This window comes from Homo sapiens, chromosome 16, assembly GCF_000001405.40.
Source record: "Homo sapiens chromosome 16, GRCh38.p14 Primary Assembly".
NCBI lineage: Eukaryota > Metazoa > Chordata > Mammalia > Primates > Hominidae > Homo > Homo sapiens.
Genome location: NC_000016.10, coordinates 80,944,916 through 80,964,511, shown reverse-complemented (window position 1 = coordinate 80,964,511; position 19,596 = coordinate 80,944,916). Strand labels below are relative to the sequence as shown.

The window sequence follows — 19,596 nt, the reverse complement described above, 5'->3', positions numbered from 1 at the left end:
CTGCTACATATTGCATGCCTCCTCTTATTTTTTTAAATGAAATGACTACCATATTATTTTTGAAACTAATCAAACTTCTAGAATTAACTTTCACTTTCTGAAGGCTAGAGAAACACGTTACCACAGAAATCCAAAACGTGTGTGATATTCTATAGGACAAATGACTCAATTGTCTTAGCAAATAAGTAGCATAAAAAAGAAGAGGGAGAGGGATTCAATGTATGCTTTAGATTAAGAGATTTAAGAACATAACCAAATGCAATGTGTGAATCTTGTGTGGATTCTGATGGGAACGAACCAACTGAAAAAAGACATCTTTGAGACAGTTGGAGAAATTTGAGTATGATTGGGTTTCAGATGATGTTAAGAAATTGCTGTCATTTTGTTAAGCATAGTAATGGCATTGTGATTATGTTTTAAAAAAATCCTTACTAGTTAAAGATGCCTTGAAGTATTTACAGGGAAAATGATAGATGTGTGGGATTTACTTTAAATTACCAGCAAACAGAGTGGGTGCAGGGGGATTAATGAAACAAGATTGGCTATGTGTTGGTAACTGTTGAAACTGGATGATAGATTCATAAAGTTTTTTTTTTACATTTGTCTCTAATGAATGCTTGAACATTTTTATAATAATTTTTTTAAAGAGTCCTAGATGCTTAGAGTCAAGAAGCAATTTCATCTAGAATATAACTTGTCAGAATATGTGCTTCTCTGAGAAAAGGACTCAGAACGTCAGTTTTTTTTAAATGCTTAACATTTATTTTGGTCTTTTTTTTTTTTTTTTTTGAGACGGAGTCTCGCTCTGTCGCCCAGGGTGGAGTGCAGTGGCGGGATCTCGGCTCACTGCAAGCTCCGGCTCCCGGGTTCACGCCATTCTCCTGCCTCAGCCTCCCAAGTAGCTGGGACTACAGGCGCCCGCCACTACGCCCGGCTGATTTTTTGTATTTTTAGTAGAGACGGGGTTTCACCGTTTTAGCCGGGATGGTCTCGATCTCCTGACCTCGTGATCCGCCCGCCTCGGCCTCCCAAAGTGCTGGGATTACAGGCGTGAGCCACCGCGCCCGGCCTATTTTGGCCTTTTTGATTCTGAAGAGTTCTGGGTTTTTCTGTTAAATAAAGGGCATCCTTTCAAAAGAAAGACAAATGTTGGCAGTGGAGATGCCAAGAGTGGAATAGGAATATGGTCAAAATAAGAAATATAGGCCCACAGAGAAACTTAGCACTATTTTGAAGGCTTCTCCCCAGGGCTGCATTTTCTATGAGAAGTTTCTATGAATCTAAACTATTTTAATCTTTCTTGAGAGGCAGAATACTGCCATGGTTAGAAGTTTGAAATCAGACAGACCTATATTCAAATTCCAACTCTTGTCACCTATGAGTTGTGATGGAGGGCAAATTTACTTAAACTCCTCAAACCTCAGTTTCTTCATCTGTGAAATGGGAATCATGATAGTATTTACTTCATAGAGTTGAAATGATGATTAAATTAAGCCTTTTGACATATGATGTGGTTTAAGTTATCATACGTTTGGAATACCATGAGTGTCCATGGAGTCCTAGCTGGTGTCTGTGTGTGAGAAAAGTAGAAGCTAAAGCACATGGCCGTATGGACACAAATGCCTTTTGTCTGCCTTTACAGCCTTTTCTCAATAGAGATAACACAGCCTTGTGTTTCAGTATAAGGAATCAATGAAGTAAATTCGCACAAAATTCCTGCATTTCTGGAGTTAAGAACTCAGAAGTGCAATTCCAAATATTTGTCTCATTTCTGTTTGGACTCCATTGATCTTCTCAGCCTCTCCCAAGGAAAGAGTGTGAGATTTGAAAACCTGGCTATGGACTGGTTGAGACAGGCACTGCTAGATGCCACCTGACTACAAAGATGAGGAAGCCCCAGCTATACCTGCAAGAAGACTTGGGGCATGTCTGTATATCTTAAAGGAAGATGGAAGAACAAGTGGTGGTGTAGAACGCAAATTTTACTTTTTAATTTCTTTAAGTTTTATTTTTGACAATTATATATATTTATGGGGTATATAATGTTTTGACACATGTATACATTATGGAATGATCACATTAAGGTAATTAGCCTATGTCACCTCAAATATTTACCATATCTTTGTGGTGACAACATTTATTTTTTATTTATTTTTTTTTATTTTACTTTTTTGGAGACAGAGTTTGGCTCTGTTGCCCAGGTTGGAGTACAGTGGCACAATCTTGGCTCATTGTGACCTCTGCCTCCCAGGCTCAAGCGATCTTCCTGCCTCAGCGTCCTGAGTAGCTGGGATTATGGACACATGCCACCACACTTGGTTAATTTTTGTGTTTTTTTGGAGAGGCAGGGTTTCACTATCTTGCCCGGGCCAGTCTTGAACTCCTGAGCTCAAGTGATCTGCCTGTCTTTGCCTCCCAAAATGCTGGGATTACAGGCATGAGCCACTGCACCTGGCCCTGGGTGAGAACATTTAAAATCCTCTTTTTTAGCTATTTTGAAATATCCGTTATTAACTGTAGTTCCCTTGCTGTGCAGTAGAACACCAAAACGTATTCCTTCTATGCAACTGTAACCTTGTATCCATTTGCCCAACATTGTCCTTTTCACTTTCCACCTACTCCCACCCTCAGCCTCTGGTAACCACTATTCTACTCTCTACTTCTGTGAGTTCAACTTTTTTAGATTTTACGTGTAGGTGAGATAATATGGTATTTGTCTCCCTGGGCCTGACTTATTTCACTTAACATAATGCCCTGTAGGATCACTGATACTTCACAAATGACAGAATTTTCTGTTTCTTTTTCTAAGGCTGAATAGTATTCCATTGTTTGTATTTACCACACTTAAAGTCAATGTATCCATTGATAGACACTTAGGTTGTTTCTGTATCTTGGCTCTTGTGAATAATGCTGCAGTGAGCATGACAGTGCAGACATCTCTTTGACATATTGATTTCAATTCCTTTAGATATATACCAATAGTGGGATTGCTGTAATGTATGGTAATTCTATTTTTAATTTTTGAGGAACCTCCGTACTGTTTTCCAAAATGGTTATACAAATTTCCAACACCACCAAGAGTGTATAAGGATTCCCCTTCCTCCACATTCTCACCAACACTTGGTATTGTTCATCTTTTTGATAACAGGCATTCTAACAGTTGTAAGGTGATTTCTCATTGTGGTTTTAATTCACATTTCTCTGATGATCAGAAATGTTTAGCATTTAAAAAATGTATCTGTTGAACATTTGTATGTCTTCTTCTGAGAAATGTCTATTCAAGTCCTTTGCCCATGTAAAATTTTTCATTTTACTTTTTTTTAGAGATGGGGTCTTGGTATGTTGCCCAGGATGGAGTGCAATGGCTATTCACAGGCATGATTATAGCACACTACAGCCTTGAACTTCTATTGTCAAGTGATCCTCTTGCCTCAGTCTCCTGAGTAGCTGGAACTACAGATGTGTACCACTGCGTCCAGTCTGCCTATTTTTTAAGAGAGTTATTTGTTTTGTTGTTATTGAGTAGTGTGAATTCCTTGTACATTTTGGATACTAGTTTCTGATTCAATGTATGATTTGCAAGTATTTTATCCCAATTTGTAGGTTGCCTCTTCATTCTATTGTTCTCTTTGCTGTGCAGAAGTTTTCTAGTTTGATGCAATCTCATTTATCTATTTTTGATTTTGTTCCTTGTGTTTTTAAGGTCGTATCTAAGAAATCTTTGCCTAGATCAATGTCCTGGAACTCTCTCCCTGTTTTTTCTTAGTAGTTTTACAGTTTCAGGTCTTACATTCAAGTATTTAATCCATTTTGAGTTGGTTCTTGTATAAGGGGTGAAACATGGGTTCATTTTCATTCTTCTGTATGTGGATATGCAATTTTCCCAACACCGTTTATTGATGAGACTGTCTTTTTCTCATTGTGTATTCTTGACACGTTTGTCAAAAATTAATTGGCTTTTGGTGTTTGGGTTTATTTCTCATCTCTCTGTCCTATTCCATTGGTTGATGTGTCTGTTTTTATGTCTGTACCATGCTGTTTTGATTGCTGTAGCTTTGTGATATCTTTTGAAATCCAGTAGTGTGATACCTCCAGTTTCATTCTTTTTGGTTGATAATGCTTTGGCTATTCAGGGTCTTCTGTGGTTCTTTATGAATTTTAGGATGGTTTTTTCTATTCCTGTTGAGAATGGCTTTGAAAGTTTGATAGAGATTGCACTGAATCCGTAGATCACTGTGGGTAATATGGACATCTTAACAATATTAATTTATTCCAATCCATGAATAGGGGTATCTTTTCATTTATTTGTGTTATTTTCAATTTCTTTCATCAATGTTTTATAGTTTTCAGTACACAGATCTTTCACTTCCTTGGTTAAATGTATTCCTGTGTTTATGCTATTGTAAATGGGATTGTTTTCAGACGATTTGTTGTTGGTGTATAGAAACACGACTGATTTTTGTTAAGTTGATTTTGTATCCTGCAACTTTACTGAATTTATCTGTTCTAGCGGTTTTTTCAGGGAGTCTTTAGGATATTCCATATATAACAGCATGTTGTCCACAGAGACCATCTCTTGTCATCCTTTCCTATTTGTATGCTTTATTTCTTTCGCTTGTGTAATTGCTGTGGCTAGGGCTTCCAGTACTGTGTTGAACAGAAGTTTTGAGAGTGAACCTCCTTGTCTTGTTCTTGATTCTAGAGGAAAAGTCTTCAGCTTTTCACTTTTGACCATGATGTTTGCTGTGGGCTTATCATATATGGCTTTTATTGTGTTGAGGAACATTGTTTCCGCATTTCTCTCATGTTTTATTCTTCTTGTGTTTTTTAAGTTCAGGGGTACATGTGCATGTATTTATATAGGTAAATTTGTGTTACGGGGGTTTGTTATACAGATTATTTCAATACTCAGGTATTAAGCCTAGTACCTATTCCTTATTTTTCCTGATCTTCTCCCTCCTCCCATCCTCCATCCCTTGATAGGCCCCAGTGTCTGATAGCTGTAGTTGTGCAGGCTTATTTCTGTGTTCTTTATTCTTTTCCATTGGTCTATGTGTCTATTTTTGAACCATGCTGTTTTGGTTACTGTAGCCCTGTAGTATAGCTTGAAGTCAGGTAGCATGATGCCTCCAGCTTTGTTCTTTTTGCTTAGGATTGCCTTGGCTATTTGGGTCCTCTTTTGGTTCCATATGAATTTTAAAATACCTTTTTCTAGTTCTCTAAAGAATGTCACTGGTAGTTGAATAAGAATAGCATTGAATCTATAAATTACTTTGAGTGATATGGCCATTTTAATGATATTGATTATTCCTAGCCATGAGCATGGAATGTTTTCCCATTTGTTTGTGTCATCTCTGATTTCTTTGAGCAGTGTTTTGTAGCTCTCCTTTTAGAGATCTTTCACCTGCCTGGTTAGCTGTATTCCTAGGTATTTTATACTTTTTGTGGCAGTTGTGAATGGGATTGTATTCCTGATTTATCTCTTGACTTGACTGTTGTTGGTGTATAGGAAATGCCATACACCAACAACATCCCTTTTGTACATTGATTTTATATCCTGAGAGTTTAATGAAGTTGTTTATCAGCTTACGGAGCTTTTGGGCCAAGACTATGGGGTTTTCTAGATACAGAATCTTGTCATCTGTAAACAGCGATAATTTGACTTCCTTTCTTCCTATTTAGATGCCCTTTCTTTCTTTCTCTTGCCTGATTGCTCTGGCCAGGACTTCCAATCTATGTTGAATAGGAGTGGTAAGAGAGGGCATCCTTGTCTTGTACTGGTTTTTAAGGGGAATGCTTCCAGCTTTTGCCTGTTCAGTATGATGTCAGCTGTGGATTTGTTGTAGATGGCTCTTACTGTTTTGAGGTATGTTCCTTCATTACCTAGTTTATTGAGAGTTTTTAACATGAAGGGATGTTGAATTTCATTGAAAACCTTTTCTACATCTGTTGAAGTAATCATGTGGTTTTTGTCTTTAGTTCTGTTTATGCAATGAATCACACTTATTGATTTGTGTATGTTGAACCAACCTTGCATTCCAGGGGTAAAGCATACTTGATTGTGGCAGATAGCTTTTTGATGTGCTGCTGAATTTGGTTTGCCACTATTTTCTTGAAGATTTTTGCATCAGTCTTCATCAAGGATATTGGCTTGAAGTTTTCTTTTTTTTGTTATGTCTTTGCCAGGTTTTGATATCAGGGTGATGGTGGCCTCATAGAATGAGTTAGGGAGGAGTCCCTTTTCCTCAATTTTTAAGAATAGTTTCAGCAGAAATGGTACTAGCTCTGCTTTGTACATCTGGTAGAATTCAGATGTGAATCCATCTGGTCCTGAGCTTTTTTTGGTTGGTAGGCTATTTATTACTGATTCAATTTCAGAGCTTGTTATTGGTCTGTTCAGGGATTCAGTTTCTTTCTGGCTCAGTCTTGGGTGGGTGTATGTTTTCAGGAATTTATCCATTTCTTCTAGATTTTTCTAGTTTGTATGCATAGAGATGTTCATAATATTCTTTGATGGTTTTTTGTATTTCTGTGGAGTCAGGGGTAATTTTCCTTTGTTGTTTCTAATTGTGTTTATTTGGACCTTCTCTCTTTTCTTCCTTATTAATCTCATAGTGGTCTATTTTATTTTTTTTCAAAAAAAAAAACCACCCTAACTCTCGGACTTGTTGATCTTTTGAATGCTTTTTTGTGTCTCAGGCTCCTTCATTTCAGCTCTGATTTTGGTTATTTCTTGTCTAGCAGCTTTGGGGTTGGTTTTCTCTTGGTTCTCTAGTTCTTTTAGTTGTAATGTTTGGTTAAACTGAGATCTTTCTAACTTTTTGATGTGGGCATTTAGTGCTATACATTTCCCTCTTAACACTGCCTTGGCTGTGTCCCAATGATTCTAGTATGTTGTATCTTTGTTCTCATTAGTTTCAAAGAACTTCTTGATTTCTGGCTTGGTTTCATTATTTATCCAAAAGTGATTCAGGAGCAGGTTATTAAATTTTCATGTAATTTTATGTTTTTGGGTGAATTTCTTAATCTTGATTTCTAATTTGATTAGAAATTAGAAATCTGTGGTCCAAGAGACTGGTTGTTATGACTTCAGTTCTTTTGCATTTCCTGAAGAGTGTTTTATGGGAAATTATGTAATTGATTTTAAAGTATGTACCATATGGCAATGAGAAGAATGTATATTCTATTGTTTTTGGATGGAGAGTTGTGTAGATGTCTGTTAGGTCCATTTGATCCAGTACTGAGTTCAGGTCCTGAATATTTTTGTTAATTTTATGCCTTGATGATCTGTCTAATATTGTCAATGGGATGTTAAAGTCTCCCACTATTACTGTGTAGGAGCCTAAGTCTTTTTGAAGGTCTCTAAGAACTTGCTTTATGAATCTGGGTGCTCCTGTCCTGGGTGCATATATATTTTGGATAGTTAGGTCCTCTTGTTGAATTGAACCCTTTTCATTATGTAATGCCCTTGTCTTCTTTGATCTTTGTTAGTTTAAAGTCTGTTTTGTCTGAAATTCAGATTGCAACCCCTGCTTTTTTCTGTTTTCCAGTTACTTGGGTAGATTTTTCTTCATCCCTTTATTTTGAGCCTATGCGTGTCATTGCCTATGAGATAAGTCTCCTGAAGACAGCATACCAATGGCTCTTTGTTCTTTATCCACTCTGTGCCTTTTAAATGAGACATTTATATTCAAGGTTAATGCTGATATGTGTGGATTTGATCCTGTCATCATGATGTTAGCTGGTTTTTGTGCAGACTTGTTTATGTGGTTGGTTTATAGTGTCACTGGTCTGTGTACTTAAGTGTGTTTTTGTAGTAGCTGGTAATGTTCTCTCCTTTTCATATTTAGTGCTTCCTTTCAGAGCTCTTGTAAGGCAGGTCTGGTGGTAATGAATTCCCTCAGCATTTGCTTGTCTGAAAAGAAACTTATTTCTCCTTCGCTTATGATGCTTAGTTTGGCCAGATATGAAATTCTGGGTTAGAATTTCTTTTCTTTAAGATTGTTGAATATTGGCCTCCAATCTCGTCTGACTTGTGGGGTTTCTGCTGAGAGGTCTGCTGTTAGTCTGATGGGCTTCCCTTCATAGGTGACCTGACCTTTCTCTCTATCTGTCTTAACATTTTTTCTTTCATTTTGGCCAAGGAGAATCTGATGATTATGTGATGATCTTCTTGTGAAGTATCTTACTGGGGTTTTCTACATTTCCTGAATTTAAATGTTGGCCTCTCTAGTTGGATTGGAGAAGTTCTCATGGATGATATCCTGAAATATGTTTTCCAAGTTGCCTACACTCTCCCCATCTCTTTCAGGGACACCAATGAGTTATAGATTTGGTCTCTTTATATAATCCCACATTTCTTGGAGGTTTTGTTTGTTCCTTTTCATTCTTTTTTCTTTAATCTTATCTGACTGCCTTGTTTCACAAATCTAGTCTTCAAGCTCTGAGATTCTTCCTTCCACTTGGTCTATTCTGCTATTATACTTGTGATTGTATTATGAATTTATTGTAGTGTGTTTTTCAGCTCTGTCAGGTCAGTTACATTCTTTCCTAAGCTGGTTGTTTTGTCTGTCAGCTCCTACATTGTTTTATTGTGATTCTTAGCTTCTTTGAATTGAGTTTCAATGTACTCCTGTATCTCAGTGATCTTTGTTTCTATCCATATTCTGAATTATATTTCTATCATTTCAGCCATCTCAGCCTGGTTCACAACCCTTGTTGGAGAGGTGATGTGGTTGTTTGGAGGAAGGAAGGCACTCTGGCTTTTTGAGTTGTCAGGGTTCTTGTGCTGGTTCTTTCTCATCATTTTATGTTCCTTCAATCTTTGAACTTGCTGATGGTTTTTTTTTTCCTCTTTTATCCTATCTGATGACCTTGAGGGTTTGTGGTGTAACGTGGATTCAGCAGACTGGCTTTATTTTAGAAGATTTTAGGGAATTAGGGCTCAGCTCCCAACTCCTAGACTGTGTGTTCTAATTCTGGGGAACTTGTATTGGCCTTGACTTTGTTCTCTGTCTCTTCACGGTTAGAAATCCACTGCACTGGCGGGGCTGAGGTGCTCGCAGACCACTGGTCACTACACTTTGATAGTTGGTGTCAGCCAAAGTGTTTCATAATACAGTGACAGGGGGATCTGTCCTTGCTTGTACGTGCCAACAGCAGCAGCAGCAGCAGCAGCAGCGTAGTGGGGTGCTCTCTAGTTGGCTGTGGCAGGGTGATAGCGGGTACCAGCATGCCTGCCCCTGTGCAGGCGTTCACCACAGTGGCAGAGGCAACATGGCTGGGGGTGTCAAGAGGTCCCTGCTGGTGACTATGCTTGTGGTCATGCTGGTGGTGATGTTTGCACAGGTGCTAGCAGGCACAGGCCTTTGTGTGTTCTCCATAGGCAGGAATGGTTGCTCAGAGTGGGGGAGGTTCTGCTGTTCTTCATGCCTAGTTTGACTCCCGTGACAGTGTTGGATCCAGAGCAGGGTGCTGGTGAGGACAGGCCTGGCTGTCTCTGTGCCCACTAAGGCTTCAATTGCAATGGCAGTTGGTAGGGGGAAGGGGCGGGTGGACTGCACTCGCAGTGTAGCAGTGGCAGGGCAAAGAACATATATACATCTACATTGGCAGGGCAAGAAAAGCAAAACCGTTCACACACATGCACCAGTAAAGCAATGTGAGGGGTTGCCGTGGTCCAGGGGGAAGCTGCCATGTGGGGAGGGAGTGTCAGGCTGGTGTGTGGCTGTGGGGGCCCTCCCACTGGAGCTCTCTACAGGTCAGGCATGGTTTGCCAGCGCTAAAGCTATGATACAGGCCCCAGGGCACCTGAGGCTGCCCTGCAAGCAGGCACGGTCAGGCTGGATTTCTGGGAGAGACCAGCAGACCAAGGGGTGCTCAGGTCAGACCAGTCCCATCTGATGGAGAAGACTACCCTGTAGAGTTCAGGTCTGACAGTATCCCTGGGGCTAAAGTCTCCAATGGGAGCAAGTCAGCCAGGGATGGCCATCCCTGGCTGTGCTGTGCTACACACGCTCCTTTACCAAGCGCTCTGGGCTCCATGTCAGCTGGCTTGCTGCCCCTGCCACTTCTCTAAGCAGCTCTCCTTGCCAACTACAGTGTCTGTGGTGGTCTAGGGGTCACCTCTTGCTGGGATTCCAGAGGGCCGTGGTAAGAATGGGGTTGCTCCTGGCCAAGTGAACTAACCTGTTCCCCTAGAGTCATTGGGGGCCAGGAATGAGTCCTGGTGCACGGTAGTCCTGTGCAGCGTTCCCAGTTTCCTTCCCCATCAGCCCAGCCTTCCTCTGTCCACTCTTGGTGCCTTCCCTTTGAAGGTCTGTTAGGAGTGCGCCCATCGTCTTGGTCCCTTGGTGACAGCTGTTCCACCTGACTGTGTCTAGTCAGCCATATTCTCTTTTTTTTTTTTTAGTCTAGCTAAGTTTTGTTGATCTTTTCTATTGTTTTTCTAGTTTCTATTTAATTTATTTCTGCTCTGGTCTTTATTATTTCCTTTTTTTTTTTTTTTTTTTTTTTGCTAACTTTGAGCTTAGTTCTTCTTTTTCTAGTGCCTTGAGGTATAACATTAGGTTGTTTATTTGAGATCTTTCCTTTTTTTTGATACAGGTATTTATTGGTATACAGTCTCTCTTAGTACTGCTTTTGCTGCATCTCATAAGTTTGGATATGTTGTGTTTCCATTTTCCTTTGTCTCAATATATTTTTATATTTTCTTCTTTAATTTTTTCTTGGACCCAATAGTCATGCAGGAACATATTATTTAGCTTTCATATACTTGTAAATTGTCTGTGATTTTTCCTGTTACTGCTTTTAGTTTCATCTCATTGTGATCAGAAAAGATACTTGATATGATTTCAGTGTTCCTTGATTAAGACTTGTTTTGTGGCCTAACATGTGATCTATCCTGGATAATGTTCCATAGACACTTGAGAAAAATGTATATAAAAGTAAATTTTAGAGTTGGAATTTTTCACTGGATCTTGGCTTCCCCATATACCTTTGGTAACTCACCTCACCTCACCTCTTTAAACCTCCATTTTCTCATCTGTAAAATGGAGATCTGTGCTTCACCAGTTATATGCATCAAAGGAGACCATAGTATTGGTTTTGGAGTATAAAAGGCCATACAAATATTAACCGATATTTTCTAGAGAGTGTGTAATAGAGCGTATCAGACTTCTCTTGGGATCCCACGAGGACATCCCATCAGAACAGGCCAGGAGTGGCCTCTGATGGGTGCTCTGAATGCTAGGTGGCTTTGGGAGCTCCTTGGACTCTCCTGAGGCATGAGTTGGGTCTAGGGAGGGTCTAAGAAGAGTGTTAGTCTCCTCTATCTTGTTCTCAGCCTCCCTGTGCTGCTCCTGGGCTCAGCCAAGGAAGTTTCACTGGCTATGGTCCTTGGCCCATATTGCAGTGACCTTCATGGCATGAGGAAAGCCGTACACAGTCCCTGGTGCCTTCATATGTCTTTACTGGATTCCCAAGGCATCCTGACCAGTGTACTAGGTGTTGGTATATATTATGAAGAAAGCAGACATGGAGTTGATAAGTCTGGGGAGAAATCTGCTGGGTTTTCCAGGTGTCTGGTCCAGCATTGTCCAGTAGCAGCACTTCCTACAATGATGTTAATGTTTATAGATCTGTGCTGTGCAATGTTGTGGTCATATGCCATGCATGGGGGTTGGGCTCTTAAAATGTGGTTTGTGCAAATGAGGGACTAAATTTCTAATTTAACTCAATTAATTTAAAGGTCACATGTGGCTAGTGGCCATTATGTTGGACAGTATTGGTCAGTGCTAGAAACTTCCCGAGATGGTTAGAAGGGCACCCAATCTGGCCAAAGGCTTGACTTCTCTTCCTAAGAAAGGGCTGTGAGACCCAGAAGTGTCCTGAGTCCAGGCCTTTGCTCTGTCTCCTGCTGTGTGTATGGATTTTTCATTCCATTTGGCCTCTTCTCTGTTTAGTTTTTTCATCTGTAAAATTGGATTAATTTTTTAATTGCTAAACCCTTGACTCCATTGTGATTTGTCTTTTAATCCATCTGCAACAGATTACTACAAATGTGATTGGCTTAAAACAACAGAATTTTATTCTCTTTCAATTCTGGAGGCCAGAAGTCTGAAACCAGTTTCGTTAGGCTGAAACCAGGGTTTTAGCAGAGCCACCCTCCACTGGAGGCTCTAGGGAAGAATCCATTCCTTCACTCTTCCAGCTGCTGGTGGCTGCTGGCATTCTTTGGCTTGTAGCTGCATCACTGTGATCTCTCCTTCAGTGGTCATGTGACATTCTCCTCTTCTGTGTTTAGTCTCCCTCTGCCTCTTTCTGATAAGGACATTTGTGATTGCATTTAGGGCCCCTGCTAGATAATTAAAGGTTATCTCTTCATCTCAAGATCCTTATTTAGGCTGGGCACGGTAGCCAATTCCTCTAATCCCAGCTACTTGGGAGGCTGAGGTGGGAAGATTGCCTGAAGCTAGGAGTTTGAGACCAGCCTGGGCAACATAGTAAGACCCCATCTCTAAAAAAAATGCAAAAATCAGCCAGGTGTGGTGGCATGTACCTGTAGTCCCAGCTACTCAGGAGGCTGAGGCGGGAGGATCGCTTTATCCCAGGAGTTCAAGGCTGCAGTGAGCTATAATTGCCACTGCACTCCAGCCTGGGCAACAGTGTGAAACCCCACCTCAAAGAAAAGAAGATCCTTAATTTAATTACATCTGCTAAGATCCATTTTTCACATAAGGTAGCATGTATGAATTCCAGGGATTTGGACATGATATTTTGGGGTGCCATTATTCAGCTAACTACACCTAGTAATATTTATTAATAGTGGACTTCCTTTAGATAAAATGCTGTGGCTATGTCATGGGATGTGTAGAAGTTGCTACCTGTCTGCCAGGATCTCCAGAGAGAATTTTCTCTGTTCTGAATGGAGACCCAAGTTTGATAAAAATTTTGAGATTGCTCCCTTCCCTGCTTCTACCATGAATTACCTTGATTTGTTTACGGCAGCTCATCTTACTAAAAGGTTGGTCAACTCACAAATGTGCCCCACTGCACACTCTACCAATATTTGAATTATTCCCCATATTACCTCCAATTCCTAAAACGTGTGGAAGGAACTTTGGGACTTCAGTTAGGAAAACGCAAACTGTATTGCATCTGAGTGAGAGGAGAGAACATTTGTTCTATCAGCTGGGTAAGTGATGTTTCACAAATTAGAAAATATAGAGGCTTGGCCCTGACACAGCTCAAGAACAGATTGTGACTCTGCTTTGGAATGTCATGTTTTACTGTTATTTAATCAAATCTGAGAGCAGTGGTTGGGAAGTGGGTTTTGTAAATATTGCTCTGAAGCATTCACATTTCAACAGAAAACAGATGCCAAGTGTTTTCATTAGTATCGATATTCAGAGTTATTTGAATAAAACACAAATCTACTTCCTGGTAAAGCAAAACACCTGCAAAGGCCTGGAGTTGGTGGGGTTGGGGGAGAGGGTGGGGGGAATATGTATTTGTAAAGTTTGAATGAGGAATAAAGTTAGCTGGAAGACCTTCATTTTTCCTAAAGAAGCCTAAAAATGAAATATTTATAACTAGAGGGATATAGAAACACAATTATAATTTAAAGTGTGAGTCACAACACCGTCTTATTCAACCAGGGAACAAAATGACTTAAAGGCAGAATAAAATTACTTCATTTATGTGTCTTAAGAATACGACATTCTTTCAGTCTGCTCATGTCCTTGGGTTAAATGGCAGAGTGTCTGTTCTGTTCCCCGAGGTGGTCAGTAGCTTTATTACTGGTCATTCGTCTGGGGTGGCTTTTCCAAGAATTAATAATGATAATAATAACAATTCACTGCCAAGCACTGTGCTTTACTTATGTCATCTCTTTTAATCATGTTGCCTTGTTTGGTAAGTATCATTGTCCCCATTTGATAGGTAAGGAAACTGAGGCTTGGAGAAGCTTGGCCACTTACCCAAACCCACTGAGTTACTAGCTGTCAGAACTGAGGTATGAACCAGTGCCCTTGATCTGGAGCCCAGCCCTCAGTCACTTGCCTACCCTCCCGAATGAGATGGGCTTGGGTGCTCCCCTCACTTTCTTTTGAAAGCCTATGTAACTAACTCCCCTGGCAAATTCCGCTCTGCTATGTTTGGTCATGGTCACCATCAATAGAGAGGGATTAACTTGCATACTAAGGTTTTGACTTTTTTGCAACATCTGGGCATTGATCTCGGCTCACTGCACTCCAGTGTGTGTGTATATATATACATATATGTAAAAAGATACATATATCTATACAGATATACAAAAATAGGTATATATGTATATATTAAAAATATGTATATATGTATATATAAAATGTGTGTGTATATATAATATATATCATATGTCATATATAATATATATTATATATCTTATATATAATATATATTATATATTATATATCTTATATATAATATATATTATATATTATATATCTTATATATAATATATATAATATATATTATATAATATATATTATATAATATATATATCTTATATATTATTATATATCTTATTATATATTATATATATATATATATATATTTTTTTTTTTTTTTGAGATGGAGTCTTGCTCTGTCGCCCAGGCTGGAGTACAGTGGTGTGATCTCGGCTCACTGCAACCTCCATCTCCTGGGTCAAGCAATTTTGCTGCCTCAGCCCCCTCAGTAGCTGGGATTACAGGCGTGTGCTACCACGCTTGACTAATTTTCCCATTTTTAGTAGAGACAGAGTTTCACCACGTTGGCCAGGCTGGTCTCAAACTCCTAACCTCAAGTGATCTGCCTGCCTCAGCCTCCCAAAGTGCTGAGATTACAGGCATGAGCCACCGTGCCCAGCCTTATGTATTTTTTTTTCTTTTTACTGTGACTATGTCTCTTCAAACTCCCTCGTATTTCTAAATGAGAGATGAGATGGAACTCGATAGCTTCCCGGGAATAGAGAAAATCTCCCCACATCTAAAGAAAATTTCATTTACTTTCTCACAGGGGGATATTTCTTCTTCAGATTCCTAGTCTGCTTTTTACTACTGATGAGCTAACACCCTGGGTTTCAGTGTGCTCATGCACTTGAAAGGGCTCATGCCCTTGAGTTCTGTGAGCTGGTGCCATGAAGTGCTGTCTTCACTCATGCACTCTCACTCAAGGAGTTTTCCTTGAGCTCCCTCTCTCTGCTGGGCCTGGGCTTATGTCGGGGAAACACTGTGAATATATCAGGCTACGCCCCTGGCCTCCCAGAAGCCTCAGCATATGCAGTGAGTGCACTGCCAGCCTTTTCGCCTAGACAGTGCCATGTTGTGCAGGTGTATCCTGCCTATTGCAGGCTGTTCATCGAGCCTGGCCCTGACCCACCAACTTCTCAAGCAGGGTGACCGCAACGATGTCACCATACCTTTCCAGGTGCCTCCAGGGGGCGCTGCTGCCCCTGGTTGAGAACCACTGCTGGGAAGTGGCAAGTTTGGATGGAGTCCCCAACCAATTCTGTCTTGGGTGTGGTACCCACTTGTCTTTATTTCTAGGAATTTGGCCCATACTAAGGATGGCAGAAGCAGATATTTGAAAAAGGAGAAGGAAAACCAAATCCATTTATCAGGGTCCTGCACTGAGAGTGGCTGATCTCAGCAGTAGAAAGTTAATGTGTTTAGCTGTTCCCCACTGAGGCTGCCTTCCACAATCTCTTCCTTCACTCCCTTCCCTGCTCACCCCTACCCCAGCTCTATCAAAAGGTAAACTACATGGACCTGAACCACTCCCACCCCGAGGCAGAGGCTGAGGAAGACCTTGGTTGGGAGGGAGAATGGAAGGGGTGAATGACCCAGAGCACTGTGGCTGATGAAGGAGAGGGAGGAGGTCTCGCCACTAAGACTGATAGGCAACTTAAGGGCAAAAGCAAAGACATCTTTTCCCTGTCCTCTAGAATCCGTGTGTGTGCCGATTCAGCTAATAGCAAGATTTTCCCAGTGAACAGAGTATACCCTCCCTCCATTCTTATTGTTAACAACATAACAAAGGAGTGACACAGACAAGAGCAGAGAGGCTGGGGCCCTGCCCTCGAAAATCTATTGTTTCACTGTTCTCCCTGGTGAAATCTGCCAAGTGCTAAGCATTGTCTAGGGTTTGGGAGTGAATGAAATAAAATCCTTACCCATGTGGAGTTTAGAGACTAGTTTAGAGTGGCAGATGGTTGAAAGAAAATGTACAAGATTAACAAATTTTAAAGTTGGACCCAGTATGCACTGGCAAGGATGTAGAGGGGCAGAACTCTCATACGTGGTTTGTGGAGGTTGGTACAACCTCTGTTGAGAACAACAAAAGTTATGACTCAATCATGCCACTCCTATTTACATACCCGAAAGAAACTCCTACAGATACACAGTCAAAAGTGTCTACGACAGCTTTTTTTTGTAGTATGAAAGAAAAAATCAACAAAAATGTTTATGAACAGGAGAATGAATAAATACATTGTAGTACATTCATACGTGGAATGCATCAATGAAAATGTGTGACATGCAGGGCCTGATTAGAAAGAAGGATGACCCATCATTCTTGCCTGTGGTTGGTTCCCACCATGCTCTCTCCCTGTCTGTCTGCTTGCTGAATATGAGAGGAAGCATGTTGCCCTGCTTGCCCATGGCAGCCTTCCTCCAGTAGAGGAACAGCCTGAAAAAGTAACTGACAATGTAAATGGTAGAGTAGAGAGACGATTAAATCCATGTCAACTCTATCACCCTGGTTCTGAGGCTGTTGCTCTTTCAGAATGTGAGTCGGGCATTGTTCTTGAGGCTAACGCTACCTTGGTTTGCGTTTTCCATTGTGTGCAAGACTTGCACCACATAGGTTGCTATGGAAGCGTACAGCAATCATTTCCTAATCAGCAGGAAAATTGTTTCTTAATTTACTCAATTTTAAGTTTTTCTCTATTTTTACTTAAACATTTGCACCTGCTTGGTTGGCTGGTTCTATCAGTACTAGCAAGAGTTAGCCTTTAAGGAAACCCATGAACACAAAGAAACCAACCTTAATGGAAACAATTGTGAAGAGTCCAACGTGATTAGTGTGTCAGCTTATCTTTTTCTGAGAACACGCGTCTTAGTTTCCATTGTATTAACTTGTGTCTGCTATAACAAAAGTACCACAAATGTGGTTAAACCAACAGAAATGTACTTTCTCACAGTTCCGGAGGCCAGAAATCTGAAATCAAGGGATTGGCAGGATGTGCTCCCTCCAAAGACTCTAGGGGGAATTCCATTCGTTCCTTGACTTTTCCATCTTCTGGAGGCTGTTGTCATCACTCTGATCTCTGCCTCTATCTTTACATGGTCTTCTTGTGTCTTTGTGTCTCTCCACTGCTATCTCTTATAAGGATACTTATCATTGGATGTAACCCCAGCTGGGTAATCCAGGATGATCTTATCTCAAAATCCATAACTTAATTACACTTGCAAAGGTCAGTTTCCCAAATAAAGTCACATTCACAAGTTCTGGGGATTAGGATATGGACATATCTGTATAGGGCATCATCATTTAACCAACTACAATGTACTTGTTCTTTGTTTTGATTTTATAGTGCAAACAGATAACGTGATCTTATTTTCAACTTAAAAAGTGGTTCCTGATTCATAAAAATAGGAAAAAATAGATCAGTATTTACTGGTGCTCCATGGAAAACATTGCCTTCCTTTACCCGAATTGGATAACAGATTAGTTAACACTTGAGAGATAAATTTTTTTTAAGATTTTAATAGAGGAACTATGATTGTGCAATATAAATGTTGGACAACATGTTCTTGGTAGTGTGAGTTCCTTGCTCCCTGGGAGAGAGGCCATGTTCAGCCTCAAATATGTCCCAGGACAAATGTGGACAAAGAGGCTCAGCATCAAATACGGGGGTTCCAGAAAAGGAAAATATGAATAAAATTAGCAGAGAGCAGATGAGCGTGAGACGGGAAAAAGTAGTTATGTTTTAAGGCCATTTCATCTCCTCTGAGAGGTAGTAGAGAGATCCCAAAAGGACAGCTGTGAACATTGGAAAGGAAGTAAAGGACTTTGAACCTGGAATCAGATAGACCCTTTTGACATACTTCCATATGATTTTGGGGAAGCAATGCATGCATCCTGAATGAATTTTATCTCCCCCACGTTGTAGAAATTTTATTTTATAAAATGGAGATGACAGTGCATACCTCTCAGGGTTGTTAGGAGGATAAACTGATTTATCCTCTGTGAGAGTACTTTCCCCATGGTAGAGGCTTAGGACATTTCTGTCAAGTTAGAATCTGAACTAGAAATGTCTTCAGTGAGTGACAGGTTGGAAACGCCTGCAGTATGAGTGTGTTATCACAATTCTTTCAGATTCACTAGTTTCTACGAGGTTTTGACTTGAAATGGAAAGGCCAGTATAAATAAATGAGTTCAGTTTCTAGCCATGATGGAGTCACTGATATGGATTATCCTTCATGCAAACAACTTGGCCTGGCCAAAATACGTAGGGCAGCTTTTTATTTCCACCATCCCTGACAGTGGATAGTAAATATAGCAAGACTTTGGTCCTTGAGAGAAGAGAAACTCATGATTCCCAAAATTGTCCAGCTTCCTGGCTAGGGACATTATTCCAACTGTAGAATAAAGAACTGGAATTTGAGCAAAGGACAGTGATCCTACTGACTGAAGGAGGAAGAGATCAGCGTTCAGGGGAACAGAAGAGGTTAGAATCTGTGAGGCGGGAGATTGGAGAGGAGGGAGCTATCCAGAGGGAGCTGTGTGTGGAGATTCTCTGAGTCTGTGCCTGAGAGACACGTGTGCACACAAGACCACCTGAGGCTCATCAGAGAGTGGCTGCTTCAGGGGTGAGAGTGGAATATAGGTACCAGAAGGTAGGCAGTGCTAAGGACGAGCAGTGCTGGGGCATGGTGGATTTTCAGCTCTGCCAGAGTGGAGAGAGATCATTAACGGCTGATTAATCCCCCTGGTACCCAGCTGAGGTGCCAGAAAGGCCACATCTAAGGAGCAGAGTCTTCTCCCAGGTAGTATTGCATTTTGGACAAGAGATTTCTTTTTTGAGTGGGGGCATCCTTTGCATCGTAGGATATTTAGCAGCATCCGTGGCTCCACTCATCAGATGCCAGTAGCACTCCCCCACCAACGTGCGGCAACTAAAAAGACATCGCCACATGTCCTCTAGGTGCAGAATTGCTTCCGTTGAGAACCACTGCCCTAAAGTAAGACCTACTTTGTACCTTACCTAACAAAACCTGAATAAACTCCTGATAAGATTAGCAGTGAGGGCAGAGTTTAGAAGTTGAGTCCTCAAGTAAGAGGGGCCTGGGAAACACTGGGCTTTCCAGAGATCCATAGTAACCACTCATAAACCTATATAAGTTCAAGATGACCAGCCCGTAAATGAAGTGCAGAATCAATACCTTTCAGGAGAAAATAAGAAAATTCAGATACGTGTATGGTAATACATACAATACATAGCCTACTATGTGTTCATCACAATGCCCATTTTTCAAACAAGAAATACTAGACATACAAAGAAACAAAAAAGTT

The 19,596-nt window shown here is 40.5% G+C and overlaps 1 annotated feature.

Moving 5' to 3' along the window:
* Positions 15,511–15,560: an enhancer, noted in NCBI's record as "active region_11172". NCBI's record gives its function as "activates an Ori minimal core promoter by ATAC-STARR-seq in GM12878 lymphoblastoid cells {active_cell/tissue: GM12878}" and the evidence as "EXISTENCE:reporter gene assay evidence [ECO:0000049][PMID:35858748]".